The sequence below is a fragment of the Homo sapiens genome, chromosome 1, assembly GCF_000001405.40.
Source record: "Homo sapiens chromosome 1, GRCh38.p14 Primary Assembly".
Taxonomy (NCBI): domain Eukaryota; kingdom Metazoa; phylum Chordata; class Mammalia; order Primates; family Hominidae; genus Homo; species Homo sapiens.
This window is the reverse complement of record NC_000001.11, coordinates 231,040,261-231,061,620: the sequence shown is the minus strand read 5'-3', so window position 1 is coordinate 231,061,620 and position 21,360 is coordinate 231,040,261. Positions and strand designations below refer to the sequence as shown.

At 43.8% G+C, this 21,360-nt stretch overlaps 4 annotated features.

Moving 5' to 3' along the window:
- Window positions 7,745-7,843: a transcriptional cis regulatory region, noted in NCBI's record as "candidate enhancer chr1.12445 targeted for multiplex CRISPR interference". NCBI's record gives its function as "positively regulates FAM89A gene expression in K562 cells {active_cell/tissue: K562}" and the evidence as "EXISTENCE:mutant phenotype evidence [ECO:0000015][PMID:30612741]".
- Window positions 11,977-12,256: a transcriptional cis regulatory region, noted in NCBI's record as "candidate enhancer chr1.12444 targeted for multiplex CRISPR interference". NCBI's record gives its function as "positively regulates FAM89A gene expression in K562 cells {active_cell/tissue: K562}" and the evidence as "EXISTENCE:mutant phenotype evidence [ECO:0000015][PMID:30612741]".
- Window positions 14,478-14,766: a transcriptional cis regulatory region, noted in NCBI's record as "candidate enhancer chr1.12443 targeted for multiplex CRISPR interference". NCBI's record gives its function as "positively regulates FAM89A gene expression with high confidence in K562 cells {active_cell/tissue: K562}" and the evidence as "EXISTENCE:mutant phenotype evidence [ECO:0000015][PMID:30612741]".
- Window positions 21,206-21,315: a silencer, noted in NCBI's record as "silent region_1948". NCBI's record gives its function as "represses an Ori minimal core promoter by ATAC-STARR-seq in GM12878 lymphoblastoid cells {active_cell/tissue: GM12878}" and the evidence as "EXISTENCE:reporter gene assay evidence [ECO:0000049][PMID:35858748]".

The window sequence follows — 21,360 nt, the reverse complement described above, 5'->3', positions numbered from 1 at the left end:
TCCCAGGTCAAAGGGTTGCATCTGAGGAGGGTCTTTTTGCTGGTGGGGACTCTCTGCATTGTCTGGAGGTGGTGCAGGGCATCCCATGGTGAGTGGGCTAAGCACACTAGCTCAGGTCTTTCTCTCTCTCTCTCTTTTTTTTTTTTTTGAGACAGGGTCTCACCCTGTCACCCAGGCTGGAATGCAGTGGCACAAACACGGCTCACTGCAGCCTCCACCTCCCAGGCTCAAGCAATTCTCCTGCCTTAGCTTCCTGAGTGTCTGGGACTACAGGCATGCGCCACAAGGCCCAGCTAACTTTTTGTATTTTTATAGAGATGGGGTTTTGTCATGTTGCCAGGCTGGTCTTGAACTCCTGGGCTCAAGTGATCCACCTGATCTTAGCCTCTATAAGTGCTGGAATTACAGGCGTGAGCCACCACACCTAGTCTTATGGGCTACATCTTAAGGCTGAAACAGGAAATATCCTATAACAAATGTACTTTATCTCTAGAAGTTGATCTCTTGGCAGCAGCAAAATCTACCCAGACAGCAGAACTGTGCAGTGCTCCTCAGCGCTTACTGGTTAAATCGCCATAAGAGGGTTAATATATGCAGGAAGAGTAGATACGCAATTGGCGTAGTCCATGATTTTGAGATGCTTTGGAAATGAGAAGGCCTCTTGTCCTCAGCAGAAACCACACTTAGGAATGGTGAGGATGATAGGAGAGAATGGAGTGAGGGAAGGGGACCTGGAGCCGGAGCAGAGACCACCCCTGTTGTCCAAGTATCGGGGGATCCATCCCATAGCCCTCTTTACACATAAATCTCAGGCCCAATGTAAAGCTGCTTGTCACGTGTTTCTTCCCTTGTGTTTGTTTAAGAAGAAAATTTCTTTTAAAACAGGGATGGCAAAGGGGGTGAGTGAGGATGAGACCAAGGCAAACCTTTTTACCTCCTTTATGAATTTGCCTTACACTCACTCACTCATTCTGGCTAAAAGGACAGCTTTGGCTCTAACAACCTAAATGGCAATCCACAGTCTGAGAAGGGGCTAGGCTGTGGCGACTTCCCCAGGCTGCTTTCAAAGTCCAGGAAGACTGAAAGACAACTGAAAGAATGATTTTCAGAGGGTGGACTCAGCTATCTGGGAGGCTGAGGCAGGAGGATCACTTTAGCCCAGGAGTTCGAGGTTGCAGTGAGCTGTGATTGCACTACTGCACTCCAGCTTAGGCAACAGAGTAAGACCCTGTCTTAAAAAAAAAAAAAAAAAAAAAAAAAAAGGTGGACTCACTGATGAATCCCCTTTTTAAAAAAATAGCAGATTTAGGAAATGGAAAAATTCTCTATTCTGAGATTTCCAAAATGATAATTTAAATTTCAGGACCCCTCCCCTGTCATTTACTTAGTTTCATCCTCAAATTATCCCAGTGTAATTATTATTATTATTTTTCTGGCATCTCTAGTTGAACAAGTGTGATTCTTGATGTGGGCTGTCTGCACTCTCATAGGTTAGAAAGCAACTTTATTAATGTGTGGGATATAAACTAGGGTGTCCTTCTTTCCCTCTTAAAATCTATTACCCAAAAGTGAAATGAAAGCCAGTCTTTTTCTTTGATCCAAGGAAATATGACTCATTCTGAATGCATTTCTATTTACTTTCCTGGAAGGTTTTCCTTAACTCTTTCAGTCTAAAAAGTTTCTTTGCTAGTTATAGCTGAGATGTTTCCTTGGCCTCTTTTATACCTTGCTGGAAAAGGTCAGCGAAGCCTGTGTGAGGGCATATGCTCCTTGGGAACTGCAGCTCCCAGGGCCTAGAAGCATCTGCAATCAGAGTATCTGATTCCACATCTGGCTTCCTGGCCATTAAGCCATGTGTCCTTAGGCAAGCCATTTAATTTCATCTGTAAAATGTGCATAATCATATACACTCTGTGTGCTTAATCAGTTGCCATGATGACCAAATGAGATATGTATGAGAAAGTGCTCTTTTAAAATGACACAGTGCATGGAATGGTTGTCTGTGTGAGTGATGGGATTATACACCATCTTTCTTTTCATATTTATGTTATCCACAATTGACACTTAAAAAAATTTTAATTTTTATTAAAATATATATTTTAAAAAGAAATCATGCAGTGCTGAACAAATAGAAGTTACTAAAACCCTTCTTTTGGTATTAAGCTCTAATTTTATAAATTTTCCTTTGTTAACTTTATGTCTCAAACTGATGATGTCAGAGTGTTTTTGAGGGATCTGAGTGTGTAGAAGATAGTTAAGCTGTATATTTATACATTAAGAAATAGGCCAGGCACGGTGGCTCACACTTGTAATCCCAGCACTTTGGGAGGCTGAAGTGGGCAGATCACTTGAGGTCAGGAGTTCGATACCAGCCTGGCCAACATAGTGAAACCCCATCTCTACTAAAAATACAAAAAAATTAGCTGGGCATGGTGGCGCATGCCTGTAATCCCAGCTACTTGGGAGGCTGAGGCAGGACAATCACTTGAACCTGGGAGACAGAGGTTGCAGTGAGCCAAGATGGTGCCATTAGACTCCAGCCTGGGTGACAAAGCGAGACACTGTCTCTCACACACACACAGAGAAATATAGAAATAGGACTTTTCATGAGTTGGTCAATTTAAATACAACAAATGCCTTTGCCCAGGGCTAGTAGAGTCCTACTACTAAGAAACTTCCGGTTTCTCTACTGAATGCACTGAGCGTGCTGCTTCATCTCTCCCCTCTGCCCTGTCAGAATTCAGCTTCCCCCAGCGCTGGGCCAGCTCTGGCAATCATTAAGCTGACAGCTCATCAGTAGAAGCTGTAGGTGTTCAGCAAAGACTCAAGGGTATCCCGAGGCAGATTTCCCTCTGCACAGCTTTCTCCTCTCTGATGCCCTGCCCCACACGCTCTCCAAATTTCAATCTCAATCTCTTCAGAAGTGAGCCCCCCAGTGCTCTGCCTGGGTTCCAGAAAGTGTCTCCGTGTGGAAGCCAGGGCAAGTGTAGGACTCACCTTACTTGTTAAGGTTCCCTCAGGGACCACAGTCCCTTGTTGCCTGCTACCAATGTCTGAAGACAGCTGTTTCCTAGGTTTTGTCTGGTTTTCTAGTTGTTAGCAGCAGGAGAGCAACTCTGGTACCAGTGACTTTATTATGATCAGAGGCAGAAGACCCCAAACGAATTTTTTTTGAAGGATTTGGCAAAAATTTATCTCTTTTTTCCGTTTCCAATCTTTTAAAGTAGACACAGATTTGCTTAATATTAAAGCTGATTTTAAGAGCACACAAAAGTTGTGCACAGAGGGTAGGATTAAATTCACTAATGCAGAGTGATGAAGAGTAAAAGACACTAAGCAGGTGCCTTCAGCAGATAACTGATCATCCATGGCAATTACCTAATAATCGGAGGCTGAAGTCCTTATGCTGCAAAAGCAAGAATACTTTAGTGCATGAAGTGTAAAGCTGAGTTTGTAGCTATATCTTGGTTTCTGCCAAATAAAATTTTAAGATCAGAGGCTTCATCTCCTAAATGGGGCCATTCACATTCTGGATCAGGAGTTTGGTGAGTGTGAGACTAACCTTTAATGCTCTTTGTATCTCTTATCACACCTGAGAGAGTTGCAGAGCAAAATAGAGGGATAATTGACTCAACAAGGAATTGATGTGTGCCTACTATGGCTAGATTTTCATCTGGGCCTGGGGATGGCGCAGAGAACAAGACATCAAGGGTCCTGCTTCGTGGAACTTAATCCAGAACTGCCACATAGATGGCAAAAAGGGTAGCAGCCTGGAGGGGACAGTTTAAAGGATATAAAAAGCCCTGCTTGTCATCAAAGCATCCTCTCACCACTCCACTGCCAAAAGATCACCTTCTGCCTTAAAATCCCCACCTTTGGGCTTGACTTTACAGATTTTTTCCCAATACCTGCTATGTGCTGTTTACTGTGCTGGAGGCTGAGGATGATTTGATGATGAGTAAAGCACGCCCCCTGCCACCAAGCAGCTGAAAACTGGTGGGGGAAATGAGGCATGTATACAAACAATGATTCAACTCCCCATAACCACCTATGTCCCCAAGAGCCCTGGTTTGAAAGACTGACTGACACTAGAAGCAGAGTCTCTGCAATCCTCCTCTGGCAGGCTCAGACACTGACCTGGCCGTTGGGTTCCACAGGCCAGATATTGAGCAGGGAGCTTCTTCCCCGAGGCATGGAGGCCCTGCAAAAGTGGGGACATGAGTGGGGTGCTGATATAGTTTGGCTCTGTGTCCCCACCCAAATCTCATGTCAAATTATAGTTCCCATCCCCACGTGTCAGGGGAGGGACCTGGTAGGAGGTGATTGGATCATGGGGGGTGGATTTCCACCATGCTGTTCTCATGATAGTGAGTTCTCACAAGATCTGATGGTTTAAAAGTGTGGCACTTCCCCCCTCACTGTGTCTCTCTCCTGCCTCCATGAAAGACATGCCTTGTTTCCCCTTTGATTGTAAGTTTCCTGAGGCCTCCCCAACCATGTGGTACTGTGAGTCAGTTAAACCTCTTTTCTTCATAAATTCCCGTCTCATGTAGTTCTTCATAGCAATGTGAAAACGGACTAATACAGGTGCAAAGTAAGGACAGCCAAGGAAGCCAGAAATGGTGTGGAAGCTGGTGTATTAGCCAGCTAGAGAGATCGGCGTATGGGATGCACAGAACAAGAGTAAATTCACTGGGGACTCAGGCAATTGTCTAGAACTTCTGCTCCTCTTCAGGCCTGTTTTTATAACGTGGTTGGCTACCTGGTGGGTGAATGGCTGCACTGTGGGAACCAAAACCTGCCTAGATACTGAAGGGATAAAGGAAGTTGGCTGAGGTTGTGGAAGATGAGGAAGGAGCTGGCATCCAAAGGAGCTGGAAATGAGGCCTCTTGCAAGAAGGGTGGGCATATGATAGAGGCAAATGGCCTGAGGACCATGATGAATGACAGGGGACTTTAGCCAAAGGGCAGGCTCCAAGATTGAGGGAACTGCTGAGAGGTGGTCCTCGACGTCACAATCTTGCCTGGAGCTCATCTTGGGAAGGGTGAGAAGTAGAGGGGTAGTGACTACTTTCTTGAATCCTCGGTTTACCTGGTTTTCTTGGTTTCATAGGTTTACCTGCCACTGGACTTCTGATTGGCAATTCCTCCATGGCCTCCAAATTAACATGTATCACACTGACTTCTTCACTGTCTTTGAAGACTATTTCTCCTGTTATGTTCCTTCTCTTTGGGAGAATTAGCACATTCACCTTGCTGCCTGACACAGAATCTGGGCTTACCTTTGACTTCTTCTCTCTCTTCCACTGTAATCAGTCACTGTTGGTTCCCCATCCATAATATCTGTCCATCTGACCTCTCCTCTTCATCCCACTCAATAAAAAACTCCACGATAAAGGGACTTTATCTGCCTTGTGCTCTGAAATACCTCCCATATCTAGCATAGTGCCCTGCCATGTCATAGGTGTTCAAGCAATAGTTGCTGCATGAATGAATGAATTAATTAATTAATTAATCCTCACTGCTACTACTTTGGCGTAGGCCCTCATCTTTTCAGATGAACCGCTAGGATAGTCTTACTGAATTCAATGACAGTAAGTCACAAACCCTTCAACCCATTGACCACAACTCCACCAAAAGGAACTGCTGTGGCCTAAATCTTTGTCTTCCCAAAATTCAGGTTGAAATTTAATCCCCAGTGTGACAGTATTAAGACTAGGGACCTTAGGATGTGATTAGGTCATGAGGGATTTGCCCTCATGCATGGGATTAGTGTCCCTGTAAAAGAAGCTTGAGGGAGACCTTTTGCCCTTCTACCATGTGAGGACAGTGAGAAGACACATCTGTGACGAACAGGCCTTCATCAGACACCAGATCTTCTGGTATCTTGATGTTAGACTTCCTAGCCCCAGAAATGTGAAAAATACATTCCTGTTGTTTATAAAGTATACAGTCTAAGGCATCTTGCCATTGTAGCCTCAACAGACTAAGACAGAGTGTTTCTAAAGTACACTCAGTTCTCATTATTCACAGTAGTTCTGTTCTATAAAGTTGCTGTGAACACTGAATTAATGAATATTAAGCCATTGCTCCTAAATGAAAATATAGGATAATGTTCCTATGAGCCTCTGTTCCAGCATTTTTGTCAGTCCATTAAGGCACAACCTTGTTTCATGAGTGTTTCTGTTTAAAGATGCCTTATTTAATGTACACTGCTAATTCATTAACATTGAACTGATGGCTAACAGCACTATAACTCATACCTGAATGAAGCTTCTCTAACACACACATTTTCTCTATGAGGTGCATCCCAGCCTTCTTGCACTTTGGGACATTAGATAGCATTTCAGCACTATGCTTGGGGCCATTTTAAACAGAGAAATCACCTACGAAAAGCACAAAATGGGGAAAACATGGTATTAAGTAGACTGCAAAAAGGACACTTGTTTACAAAACAAGAACTGAAACAAGAGGCAGAGTGTTGGCTTATTCCACCTCAGCTGGGAATGTGTGCATCAGGTGACTCAAAATTTTTACCACTCTTATATCCACAAGCGACCCCAAAACTGTCACAAGTATTGATCTTGAGGTTACAAATAAATATTAGCAAGAAGGTGAATTTGTTGGCCAGGCATGGTAGCTTACACCTGTAATCCCAGCACTTTGGCAGGCTGAGGCAGGCAGATTACCTGAGGTCAAGAGTTCGAGACCAGCCTGGCCAACATGGTAGAACCCTATCTGTACTAAAAATACAAAATTAGCTGGGTGTAGTGGAGCATACCTGTAATCCCAGCTACTTGGAAGGCTGAGGTAGGAGAATCGCTTGAACTTGGAAGGTGGAGGTTGCAGTGAGCCGAGATTGCACCATTGCACCCCAGCCTGAGCAACAGAGCAAGAATCCATCTCAAGAAAAAAAAAAAAAAAAGAAGGTGAATTTACAGTATAGAATCTGCAAATACAGAACCTGTGAATACTGAGGATGGGCTGTACAAATCCCCCTGCCTGAGCATTTAGTGCCTTGCCATTGCACCCAGGAAGCTGGGCATCATCTGCCCCACTTCGATCATAGGACCAATTGTGCATATTTAACTTGTGAGGTTACATGCTGGTCTCCTGTGTATCTTAAGGGGAGGAACTGCTGGTTAGTTTGTGTCTCTACCACACAACACGGTGGCTGGCACATAGTAGATGTTTAATAAATAATAAATAAGAATTAATAATAAGTGAATGAACCACTTAGGTGAAAAAAATAAATTAAGAATGGTAGATCTCAAGGTCTCTAGAGTAGAAGGGAGGCCATCACTTTAAAAGTTATTTTCAATTTATGACAGATGCATCTGGAGGGAGTATGTAAAACTATTTCACTAGTTAATTAAACTTTGGTACCAACCTTTCCACTGAAAGAATAAAAATGGTAGGAACCTATTTGCTGGCCTGTGCTGCTGTTTGCTGCATGGGATTTATTGTAGAATTCAGTTGGGCTCATCTGTAGAGTTGAATAAAGCCCAGTTTGCTGTCACGCTGCTGTAGGAAACACTGATGACTTTGTGTAAATTAATTCTGTCTGGTGCTCCTGATTCTATTTACAGTCCAGTTCCCCTTTGCTCTTCGTGCAGTTTCCTGGCCAGCGTGCACTGAGAGCTTTTGGTCTTCTTCCACTTTCTGTTCAGTGAATTTTAACCCCATTATTCAATGTTCATTTAAATAGTGAGCAGTGCCAAGTGTGGAAACTCGCCAAGTTTTAGTTTCAGCTAATCTGTTATCTGAACAGGGTTTGCAAACAGTGTCCTAACCAAAGGATTCTTGGAAATGCTGGCTGCGGTTAAGAAGGAGCTTTTGAATGAATTGTTTCCATTTGAATTTTGTCAACTGAATGACTTTTATTTTGTGTGACAGTCTCAGTGACCGCTAGAGTCATTCTCTCAATTCACATTCATTCAGGATAAAAAAGGGAACGTGAATAGATGTTCTCTGAGGATAATTCTCAAATCTCTATACACAACCAGTCATCAAGCTCTACACACACCCTCTCTTCTCCATCCTGACAGCCAGGCCCTTGATCTGGGGGGCAGCTTTAACTCCAGCACAGACTAAAACATTAGCTTCCTTCCTTTTTTTCTTTTCTTTTTTTTGAGTCGGACTTTCACTCTGTTGCCCAGGCTGGAGTGCAGTGGCACAATCATGGCTCACTGCAGCCTCAAACTCCTGGACTTAATAAAACATTAGCTTCTTAATTTTTCTTTCCTTCTTCCAGTGTGTCAGCTCCTTCTCCTCCCCCATTGCATCCCTTCTGTACCTCTGCCGTGTTAACCCTGTAAAACACAGACTGTGGCCGGGCGCGGTGGCTTACGCCTGTAATCCCAGCACTTTGGGAGGCCAAGGTGGGTGGATAGCCTGAGGTCAGGAGTTCCAGACCAGCCTGGCCAACATAGTGAAACCCCGTCTCTACTAAAAATACAAAAAATTAGCTGGGCGTGGTGGCGGGCGCCTGTAATCCCAGCTACTAGAGAGGCTGGGGCGGGAGAATTGCTTGAACCTGGGAGGCAGAAGTTGCAGGGAGCTGAGATCGCACCATTGCATTCCAGCCTGGGACAGAGCGAGACTCTGTCTCAAAAACAAAAACAAAAACAAAAACACAGATTTCATCATTCCTGCACTAAAGGTACCTGTGTTACCTGTGCTTTACGCTTCCTCCTTCTCTAAAAGCTCATCTGGTTTATGCGGAGTTCCTCAGCTCATTAGATTTTCATCATGGGGAGCTCACATGCCCACTCCTCATCTCCATGATGTCACTCATGTTGGCCTCTTTCTTGTCCTGTCTCTAACTCCTTAAAGGCCCAGAGAAGTCTAACACTCTTTCCAAGGCTTTTCTATGTATGGTCCTCATTTATGAACTCCTGGAGTCAATAGCACTCTGTTTTGGTACTTATACTATTCACTAATGCATTGTATTTTTCTTAACCCTTTCATATATATAAAAAATATATATTACATATATTATATAAAATATGTATTACATATATATAAAATATATATTACATATATTATATAAAATATATATTACATATATTATATAAAATATATATTACATATATTATATAAAATATATATTACATATATTATATAAAATATATATTACATATATTATATAAAATATATATTACATATATTATATAAAATATATATTACATATATTATATAAAATATATATTACATATATATAAAATATATATTACATATATTATATAAAATATATATTACATATATATAAAATATATATTACATATATTATATAAAATGTATATTACATATATTATATAATATATATTACATATATTATATGTGTAATATATATATATTAAACTTTGGTACCAGCCTTTCCACTGAAAGAATAAAAAAGGTAGGAACCTATTTGCTGGCCTGTGCTGCTGTTTGCTGCATGGGATTTATTGTAGAATTCAGTTGGGCTCATCTGTAGAGTTGAATAAAGCCCAGTTCACTGTCACGCTGCTGTAGGAAACATATAAATATATATGTATATATATATTATATATACATATATATATACACGTATACATATTTAAATTATAAGCCCCTGAAATCCGGGACTTATTTTAGACTGCCACTGTTCAATAGAAACATAACGTGAGCCAAAAATGCAAGTCTCATATGTAATTATAAATTTTTTAGTAGTCACTTTAAAGTAAACTTAAACAGTAGCTGTTTACGTTTTTAAACAGTAAACAGGAACAGGCCAGGTGCAGTGGCTCATGCCTGTAATCCCAGCACATTGGGAGGCTGAGGTGGGAGGATCACTTGAACTCAGAAGGTCAACGCTGCAGTGAGCTATGATCACATCACTGCCCTCCAGCCTGGGGGACGAAGCGAGACCCTGACTCAAAAAGAAAAATAAACATAAAATCCACAGGAATAAACAAGTGAAATTAGAAATATATTTTATTTAATGAAATATATCCAAAATATTAGTTGAACATGCAATCAATACGAACAAATATTAAGGAGAAATCTCACAGTTGTTTCATATTCAGCCTTTGGAATCCAGACTGCGTGTTATGCTGACTGCACATCTCCATGCGGACTAGCCACATTTCAAGGCTCAGGAACCCTTTGTGGATAGTGGCTGTCCTGTTGGACAGATCAGTTTTAGGCATTCTTAGCCCCTAGTATCCCATAGTTAAGTGACAGCAAAATGTACACAAAATATGTGAGTCAACAGATTGTCATCAGGCATATGTTTCTGTCTTTGCGTTCATCCTGTTTATTGTTTGATTGTTTTCACTGATGGCTGGGATAGTGTTGCGCTCAAGAAACCCCGCTCAGCCTCCTGAGTACTGGGATTACAGGCGCGCACCACCATGCCTGGCTAATTTTTGGATTTTTAATAGAGACAGGGTTTCACCACGTTGGTCAGGCTGGTCTCAAACTCCTGACCTCATGATCTGCCCACCTCGGCCTCCCCAAGTGCTGGGATTACAGGCATGAGCCACTGCGCCTGGCCAATACCTAATATTTTTAAGGGCCTAGTATGTTCTGTGCACTGGGGTAAGCATTTTATAGGCAGTCTCTAATTTACTGTTCACAACACTCCTTCGAGGTCTGTATAATCAATAACAGACCACATGTACGACAGTGGTCTCATAAGATGATAATGAAGTTGAAAAATTCCTATCACCTAGTGATGTCATAGCCATCCTTATGTTGTAGCGCAGTATACTACTCACATGTTTGTGGTAATTCTGATGTAAACAAACCTGCTGCACCGCCAGTCTTATAAAAGTATAGCACATATAATTATGTACACTGCATAATATTTGATCATGATAATCAACTATATTACTGGTTTATGTATTTACTGTGCTATACTTTTTATCATTGTTTTAGAATACACTCATTCTACTTATAGTTTTAAAAAGTTAACTGTAAACCAGCCTCAGGCAGGTCCTTCAGGAGGTTTCCGGAAGAAGGCATTGTGGTCATAGGAGATGACAGCTCCATGTGTGTTATCGCCCCTGAAGACCTTCCAGTGGGACAATCTGTGGAGGTGGAAGGCAGGGATATTTATGATCCTGACCCTGTATAGGCCCAGGCTAGTGTGTGTGTTCTTGTCTTAGTTTCTAACAAAAAAAATTAAAAAGTAAAAAAAGAAAAAGTAATAGGAAAAAGCTTATAGAATAAGAACGTAAAGAAGGAAATAGTTTTGCACACGTGTACAATGCGTTTGTGTTTTAAGGTAAGTGCTATGACAAAAGAGTCAAAAAGTCAAAAACAATTTTACAGTTTATAAAGTGAAAAGTTACATTAAGCTAGGGTTAATTCATTATTGAAGAAAAAAGTTTTGGCCAGGTGCGTGGCTCACGCCTGTAATCCCAGTACTTTGGGAGGCCGAGGTGGCCGGATCACTTGAGGTCAAGAGTTTGAGACCAGCTTGGCCAACATGGTGAAATCCCGTCTCTACTAAAAATACAAAAATTAGCCGGGTGGTGGCGGGTACCTGTAATCTCAGCTGGCTGAAACAGGGGAATTGCTTGAACCCAGGAGGCAGAGGTTGCAGTGAACCGAGACCGCGCAACTATACTCCAGCCTGGGTGATGGAGCAAGACTCTGTCTCCAAAAAAAAAAAAAAAAAAAAAACCAGAAAGAAAGTAGGTTTTTCATAAAGTTAGTTAGTGTAGCCTAAGTGTGCAGTGTCTATAAAGTCTCCAGCAGTGTATAGTAATGTCCTCAGCCCTCACATTCACTCATCACTCACCCACTGACTTGCCCAGAGTAACTTCCAGTTCTGCAAGCTCCGTTCATAGTGCTTGGCACGTGAACCATTTTTTATCTTTTACACCATGTTCTTACTCTACCTTTTCCATGGTTAGATACATTTAGATACACAAACACTTGCCATTGTGTTACAACTGCCTACAGTATTCAGTACAGGAACTTGCTGTACAGGTTTGCAGCCTAGGAGCCATAGTCTGTACCATGTAGCCTAGGTGCGTAGTAGGCTACACCACTTAGGATTGTGTAAGTACACTCCATGACATTTGTACAATGATGCAATCACCTGACAATGCATTTCTCAGAACGCATCCCTGTCCTTAAGTGACGCATGACTGTAGTACTAAAGGGTATATGGTAAAGGGTTAGAAACGCCCATCCTCTACACTCTAGAAGTTAACAGCCACTGTCCACATTTTCTGACATGCCCTCTTGGAAATGTCCTATACCTAAACAAGGACATATTTGCTTATCCTTTTTCTATCTTAACACTTATGGGGTTATTCTCTTGTGCATCTTACTTGGAAAGGGGTTAAATAAAACTGAAGTTGGATTTAAGTTCAACAGCATGCAGAAATGTGATGTGTCACTCCAAATGTTCATTCAATTTTGTGCTTCAAAAGTAGGCTGTCAAGTGGAGGAAGCCGGCCACCGCTATTTAGAACGTGTCAACACATCTGGAATTTTTCACTTACATATGGGCACGACCTTTTAAGACAAATATTGACAAATTGTATGTGTGTGGAGGAGGGTGATAAAGGAGGCAAAATATTCAAAACTCTTTCTTGACAGAAGACCAGCTGTTTGAGGACTTAAGGATATTTGAGCTGTAGAAGGGACATCTTGGAGGAATTCTCTAGGAAAAAATAGCCATTGGAATGAGCTCAGGGAGAAATGCTCACCCAGGGTTCCGTCGAGTTATGTGAGATAGATATATATATATATATAATTTTTTTTTTTTTTTGAGATAGAGTTTTGCTTTGTCGCCCAGGATGGAGTGCAGTGGCACAATCTTGGCTCACTGCAACCTCTGCCTCCTGGGTTCAAGCAATTCTTGTGCGTCAACTTCCTAAATAGCTGAGATTACAGGCACCTGCCACCACAACGGCTGATTTTTTGTATTCTGGTAGAGACGGCATTTCACCATGTTGCCCAGGCTGGTCTCAAACTCCTGAGCTCTGGCAATCTGCCGTCTCAGCCTTCCAGAGTGCTAGATTACAGGCGTGAGCCACTGCACCTGGCCTATGTGGCATATTTTGACTAAGTAAGGACTTTTGTGGAGATGAAGAGAGGTAACACATGTAAAAGTGCTTTTTTTTTTTTTTTGAGATGGAGTCTCTCTCTGTTGCCCAGGCTGGACTGCAGTGGCGCGATCTCGGCTCATTGCAAGCTCCACCTCCTGGGTTCACGCCATTCTCCTGCCTCAGCCTCCTGAGTAGCTGGGACTACAGGTGCCCACACCATGCCTGGCTAATTTTTTGTATTTTTAGTAGAGATGGGGTTTCACTGTGTTAGCCAGGATGGTCTCAATCTCCTGACCTCATGATCCACCTGCCTCGGCCTCCCAAAGTGCTGGGATTACAGGTGTGAGCCACTGTGCCCGGGTGTAAAAGTGTTATTAAAATTGGAAGCCACCACAGAGAAAAATGATTCCTAAAAATAAAGAAGGCTTGACATTTTAATGGCAGGCTTCACTGAGTGTGACCCCCCGCCCCACACAATCATTTCCGATGTTTAGGCAGAGTACCCCATTGACAAAAATAATTACTCTCTTTCTAAAAGGGTTTCATTTACTGTCTCAGAGTCACTTATTTACATCTTTAAGCCTGGGTTATTGCCTGGCACAAAGTAGATTAAAGAGGAAGGAAGGAGGCCGTTGTGATGTCTCATGTCTGTAATCCTAGCACTTTGGGAGGCCAAGGCAGGAGGATCCCTTGAGCCCAGAAGTTCAAAACTATAGTGAGCTATGATTACACTCCTGCACTCCAGCTTGGGTGACAGAGCAAGACTCTGTCTCTAAAAAGTAAAATAAAGAATAAAGTGGAAGGAAGGAAGGAAGGAAGGAAAAAGAAAGAAAGGAAAAGAAAAGGAAAGAAAGAAAAGAAAGAAAGGAAGAAAGAGAGAGAGAAAGAAAGAGGAGAGGGAGAAAGGGAGAAAGAAGGAAAGAGGGTGGAAAGAAAGGAGGGAAGGAAGGGGCTGGAGGTAGGAAAGGAGGGAGAATAGAAAGGAAAGGAGAGAGGAGGAAGGAAGAAAGGAGGGAAGGAAGGGGCTGGAGGTAGGAAAGGAGGGAGAATAGAAAGGAAAGGAGAGAGGAGGAAGGAAGAAAGGAGGGAAGGAAGGGGCTGGAGGTAGGAAAGGAGGGAGAATAGAAAGGAAAGGAGAGAGGAGGAAGGAAGAAAGGAGGGAAGGAAGGGGCTGGAGGTAGGAAAGGAGGGAGAATAGAAAGGAAAGGAGAGAGGAGGAAGGAAGAAAGGAGGGAAGGAGGAGGAAGGGGAAAGAGGAGGGAAAGGAGGAAGGGAAAGGAGAGAGAAAAGAAGGAAGGAGTGGAAGAAAAGGAGGAGGAAATGAAGGGAGGAAGGAGGGAAGGAGCAAGGGAAGGAAGGAAAAACGGAAGTGAGGGAGGAAGGGGTTATGGAGGGAAGGAGGGAGAGTGAAATAAATGGGTGCTATCAGTCCAGGTATTTTTTTCCTTCTCATTACACCTTTTTAATCCCACCAGCTTGCCTGTCTATTCCATAGTCTCCTTTTGCCTCGATTTTTCACATATGCTACTTTAATTCTCTACCCCACTTTCCCATCTCCTCATCCACTATATTTGGCTACTGTTGAAAACCCTTAAGTTGCTTGTTCTTATCTCCCAAGGGCAAGCTATTGCCTCTCTAAGCCTCCACAGCTAAGTGCTTCACCTTGCACTTGAGAAAATCAAACTCCTGGGAGATCCTTCCCAAATGTTTTCTAGGTTTCTGCACTTCCTTTGACTGCATTTCTTTTTTTCCTTCCTCCTTTCTTCCTTTCTTTTTTCCTTCCTTCTGTCTTCCTTTTTTTTTTTTTTTGAGACAGAGTCTTGTACTGCCCAGGCTGGAGTGCAGTGGTGTGATCATGGTTCACTGCAGCCTTGACTGCCTGGGCTCAAATGATCCTCCTGCCTCAACCTCCCAAGTAGCTGGGACTATAGGTGTGTAGCCCATGTATCCCATGTTCAGCTAATTTTTTATTTTTTTGTAGAGGCAGAATCTCACTATGTTGCCCAGGCTGGTCTCCAACTCCTGGGCTTAAGCAATCCTCCCGCCTTGGCCTTTCAGAGTAAGGGAGGAGATCACCCCTCATATTGTCTTATGCCCAATTTCTGCCTCCAAAGAAAGAAGAAATAAAAACTAAAAGGCAGAAATGAAATCCACAGGCAGATAGCCCGGTGTGTGCTCTGGGCCTGGTAGTTAAAAATCAACCCCTGACCTAACTGCTTGTGTTATCTATAGATTCCAGACATTGTGTGGAAGAGCATTGTGAAAACCCTGTCGTGTTCTGTTCCGTTCTAATTACCAGTGCGTGCAGCCCCCTGCTTGCTCAATCGATCTCAACCCTCTCACGCAGACCCCCTTAGAGTTGTAAGCCCTTAAAAGGGACAGGAATTGCTCACTCGTGGAGCTTGGCTTTTGAGAAACAAGTCTGCTGAAGCTCCTGGCTGAATAAAGCTCCTTCCTTCTTTAACCCGGTGTCTGATGAGTTTTGTCTGCAGCTTGTCCTGCTACAAGAGTGGTGGGATTATACGTGTGAACCACCATGTAATATTGCCTGGCTCACTCTTTCTGTCTTTCTTTCTTCCTTCCCTTCCTCCCTCCCTCCCTCTTCTCTCTTTCTTTCCCTCTTTCTTTCTTTCTTTCTTTCCCTCTTTCTTTCTTTCTTTCTTTCTTTCTTTCTTTCTTTCTTTCTTTCTTTCTTTCTTTCTTTCTTTCTTTCTTTTTCTTTCTTGTTTTCTTTCTTTCTCTCTCTCCCTCTTTCTTTCTTTTTCCTTCTTTCCTTCCTTCCCTCCCTCCCTCATTCCTGAATGACAGTGTTTCTACATACTGCTTGAGGAACGGACTCCCCTGTCCTGTCTTCCGTTTCCAGTGTTTTGGCTATCCCCTAGAAATGCAGACTTTGTTTCAGCCTTTGCACAAACAGTTACATGGATTCTGCCTTTGGTATCTTCCCAGTAAGAAGTCAATGGCCTGTGGCAAGGCTCTATTGTTTATTAGCTGAGCAAACTTGGGCAATACAACTACCTTTTATCAGCCCTTTATTCCTCATTGTCAGGTAGAACTCTGAGTCATACTCATCCCCCAGTGGTTGTTTGGATCAAATGAGAAAGCTCTTTATAAAGTATCAAGAGCTGATGATTTCTATTTCCTGTCTCTGAATTACCACCTAAATCAGGCCAGGTTGCCTCTCAATTCAAAGTTGCATTCACCTATTAACTATTCTCCCTCCCTCTAGTGTTCACTCATATACAGCCTATTAGACATGAAAGTGCCAGAATGATCTTTCTAATGCTCTGATTATTTTAAAATATAACCTCTCATTGCCTGTAAAATAGAGTCCAAACTTCATAGCATGGAATTCAAAACTCTCCCCAATCTGAGGTCAAAGCCACTGTTCCAGCCTAGCTTCCAACCAACCAGGAGTCTACCCACTCTCCCTGGTCTGTCTTCACTTTCTGAAAGTCTGCTTACCCTTCAAGCCTACTTTAAGTGAACAGTTTTCTGTTATACATGTTCTGAACTCCATAATGAATCCTGCCCTGCTGGGACTGCCACAGTGTTTGAACTGTACTTCTATCATGATGCCTCCTACATGATCTCCCCTGATGAAGTGTAAGTCACCTGAAGTCATGGATTGACCCTCATGCATGTTCATCATAGAGCTTTGCAGTGTGGTTTACACACAGTAGTGTTAAAAGACCAACTGAGGCACATTGAAATATTAAAGAGTTTATTTGAGCAAAAAGTGATTCATAAATCAGGCAGCTCCAGACCGCAAGTGGTTCTAGGCTCTGACAAAGGGGCAGGAGGGAAAAAGCTTTTATAGGGTGAATGAGGAAGCAAGGCAAAGAAAATATTTGATCAGTTAAAGTGGAGCAATGGCCTTATTTGGATCATTCCAGTGGAAAGCCCCTAGTTAGAGGTTAGTTGGAGGTTTCTGATTGGTTAAGCTTGTTTTGTTTTACTGTTTACACTGAATTAGGTTTTAACTTGCTTAAGTAGGAACCCAGAGCACTGGAGCTGCCTCAGCCTAATGACCTCCCAATTAATTATTTTAACAGTAATTACTCAACAAATTACATTGAACAGTATGTCCATTTATATATATATTTGCTATCACTAGGTGCCCAGCATTGTGCTATAGCAAAGAAAGTATCATCCTTGTCTCTGGCCAAATAAAAAATATTGTTGAAGTGACAAGGCAACAATTTAAAAACTATATAAAGGACTCTATGATTAAATGCCAAGTTTCCCATTTATATGTACACATAGTTGCATACAAAAATCTTTAAGAGGCATTATATAACCTTTAAAATTTACAATTTGTTTTAGAAATGATTGAAATATAAGAAATTATGTCTTGAAATAAACACATTTGCTAAAATGTAGCCCAAATTCATTGCACAGTTGCTTTCAAAGTAATCTAGTTTTAGGTTCTGCAACAAATGAAAAATGGCAAGATAAACTTCTCTATAGTTAGCGGCATTTAAAGTCATCAGCTTGAAAAGGCAAGCTCAGTTGGACTTCTGGTGTCTTTTTCAGGTTCTTTCTAGTCTATTAACAACCTAAGTTATTAAACTTGAGAATGATAAAAAAAAACAAAAATAAATAAAACGCACAAAAAGACTCTTTAGAGTTCCCAAAAGCAAACAACAAGTGGGCAGAGATTAGAGGTGGGGAGGAACCTAGTGGCTGGGTTAATGGAAGGTCAGGATGGAGGCACATGAGAATAATCTCTAAGTAAATGCCTGGATACTGGTGACTCTGAGGCTTGTGCTCCAAGGCCCAGGTCCCTAACCTTGATTGACAAAGTCTAAGAAAAGATGTGGGTTAATGAATAGAGCACTGGATTAGAAGTTTGTGTTTTCTGATTTCCAAGAGCCTGTGAACAACAAAACAAAACAGAAAAGACTAATTCAGCTGCATGGGTGATGATGAAGACTCACTCTGATTTGAACTCAGAATACAGATGTTTTGCTATGGTCTGAATGTATGTGCCCCCTGCCAGCCCCAAATTCATATGTTGAAACCTAACCCCCATGTGGTGGTATTGAAGTGAGATCTTTGGGAGGTGTCTAGGTCATGAAGGTGAAGCCCTTGTAAATGGAATCAGTGCCCTTGTAAAAGAGGCTTGAGGGCGCTCCCTGGCCCCTTCTGCAATGTGAGGACACCCAGAAGGTGAAATCTATGAGGAATGAGCTCTCAGCACACACGTCAGCTGGTGCCTTGATCTTGGACTTCCAGCCTCCAAAACTGTGAGCAATACATTTCTGTTCTTTACACATTATCCAGTCTCAGGTATTTTGTTATAGCAGCCTAAATGGACTAAGGTAATGTTTCAGTGGCTTAATGCAAAAAAACACACTGTCAGAAGTTATTTACTACTTCTCTCTCATTATAAGCATGAACTTTAAAAGGTACTTTATATTGGCATTTGAATAAACAGACACTAACATTCCCCAAGGATGTCAAAATATTTGTTATATAATAGTTTCAGGCTTGTACAAATAATGTCTTCACCAGCACCACAGAAATTCTGTAGAAACTTCTCCTTACCCTGGGATATTATTTGTTGATACTGATTTCAATACTCTTACCTCACTGAGTATAGGCCAGAACGCAGAGCCTGCCTTTAAAATGTTAAGGTTGGCCTGGCGTGGTGGCTCATGCCTGTAATCCCAGCACTTTGGGAGGCTGAGGTGGGTAGATCGTGAGGTCAGGAGTTCAAGACCAGCCTGGCCAAGATGGTGATGGGTATGGTGGCGGGTGCCTGTAATCCCAGCTACTTGGGAGGCTGAGGCGGAGAATTGCTTGAACCCGAGAGGTGGAGGTTGCAGTGAGCCAAGATCGCGCCACTGCACTCCAGCTTGGGCGACAGAGTGAGACTCCATCTCAAAAAAGAAAAAAAAAATTGGTAAGGTTGGCATTGTCTAAGTTGTGCCTCTTTTCTCGAGTCCTGACACCACGGACCTCATGCTGCTGTCTAGCTGACCCTAACCTCCTTTTCCTTCTGTAATCCGTAATTCTCTGAAGTATGTGCTTTAAAATGCTTTCAGTGCCCCGATACTTCAAAGTGATTTCTTTTCTTATTTCACCATCACATAGCTGAATCTCCTATCACCTACCTTGAGTGATTTCTGCTAGGTACTACAGGTGAGACTGCATTGTAACCAGTGAAATTAAAGAAATTCATGCAGGCTGGGCGCGATGGCTCACACCTGTAATCCCAGCACTTTGGGAGGCCGAGGTGGGTGGATCACCTGAGGTCAGGAGTTCGAGACCAGCCTGGCCAACATCGTGAAACCCCATTTCTACTAAAAATACAAAAATTAGTCGGGCGTCGTGGCACATGCCTGTAATTCCAGCTACTTGGGAGGCAGAGACAGGAGAATTGCTTGACCCAGGAGGCAGAGGTTGCAGTGAGCTGAGATCACGCCACTGCACTCTAGCTTGAGTGATAGACTGTCTCATAAAAAAAAAAAAATTCATGCTAAGGTGTGAACCGAATGTCAAAATGCTTCCCACCCCTTCCTCTCCCTTACTCCCACACAGGCAGACTGGTCACTCTCCTGAAGACACCCACCGTTTACATAAGTGAATGAATAAATACCTGACATCCAGAAATGTGACTAGGTAATTAGTAGAAGGTGAGGCACAGTGAAGAGGCGGAAAATTCTGGGCAGTGGGTGGGGTGGGAAGCCTGGGTGCTGTCAATCACACCGCCTGCACTAAAGCTTCTTCATATCAGTCTCACCCACTTGCAACCGTCCAGGGAGAATATTGTGCCAATTTCAAAGACACTGCTTCTGGGGTGGGCTCTAGGAGGTGGTAAAGGGTATAAAACAACCCAAAGTGCAGGGCTCTTTTATGTTGGGTGTCTGAAGTGCTCAGAACACTTTATAATTTTGATCCCCTTGAATGTAGCTAGAAAATTAAATCCCTTTATAATTAAAGCCAATAATGAATGGGCATTAAAGTTATCCAATCTATACACTGCATTAGTTTTTAATCTGCGGTTGGGCTGTAGCGTTTACTTCTTGATCTTTTCTATCTCTAATCTGGTTATAACTGCCTGTCATTTTTACTTTTCCTGGGAGGGGCAGAGTCTCTCTCTCTCTTCTCTTTTCCTCTGAGGTGTGCGTCGTGTTTATTTTTGCCTGAGCTGATGGATAATTTCCGAGATTTAATCCCTTTCTCTGGTTTCCTGACATTTCCACTTAGAGTTACTCTTGTGTTTATGGCCAGAATGAAAGGCATGTTTACTAGTGTTTTGAAGTTTCAAAAGTGGGTCTGGCGTTCTTGCTGACTGCTGCGGGTACTGCTGGACAAGGCCGTGCTGAGAAGGCCAGCGCGCCCGGCGGCAAGGAGCGACCTGCCCGGGTCTGGGGCCCCCAGCCGCCCCCCGCGGCGAGTGGGAGGCAGCAGGAGGCGGGCTGGATTCCGCCCTCGGGGAGGGCCGGGGGTCCTGGGACCAGAGCCAGGCCTCCTGCCCTCGACGTCCTGCCGGTTGTGAGCCAGAGCCTCGGTACCCCCACCCCCTGCAACGGCCTGCTTCGTGGGATCTGAAGCTGGGCCGCCCCCTGGGCAGGGCAGGGATCGGTGAGGCAAGGAGCTGAGGAGCGCTGGCAGGTAAGGGGGAAGTCTGGAGCCGGGTTGGAGGTGAGCGGGCGTTGAGGGGTGGGACAGAGGGAGTGGAGACGGGGCTGGGGGCGAGCCAGTGAACTGGGGGTGGCACAGAGGAGGTGGGAGCAGAGATGGGGGTGATCCGGAAGCCTGGGGTGGGGGGTGAGTGGGTTCGGAGCTGAGGGTGAGCCAGTGAGCTGAGGGTGGCACAGAGGGCGTGGGGGCGGAACTGGGGGTGAGCCGGGAAGCTGGGGGTTGGCACAGAGGAGGTGGGGACAGAGATGCGGGTGAGCCGGGAAGCTGGGGTTCGGGGTGGCGCGGGTGAGAGGGTTCGGAGCTAGGGGTGAGCCGGGAAGCTGGGAGGTGGTTCAGAGGAGGTGGGGACAGAGATGGGGGTGAACCGGGAAGCTGCGGGTCGCGGGGGGCTTAGTAGGTTCGGAGCTAGGGAGTGGCACAGAAGGGTTCGTGACGGGGCTGGAGGTGAGTCGGGGGGTTAGAGGGTAGTCACGCGGAGTTGGAGATGAATTAGGGCGCTGGAGGGGCGCGAGGGAGGAGGAGACCCGGGTGGAGGCGAGCCCGGCTGCTGGACGCGGACGCCACCCGGACCCGGGGCCCGCGCAGGGGCCTCGAGGAGAGGGGGCGGGGCCGGGGGGGCGTGGCGCGGGAGGGGAAGTGGGCGGGGCACCGCCGGGAAGGGGGCGGGCCGGGGGAA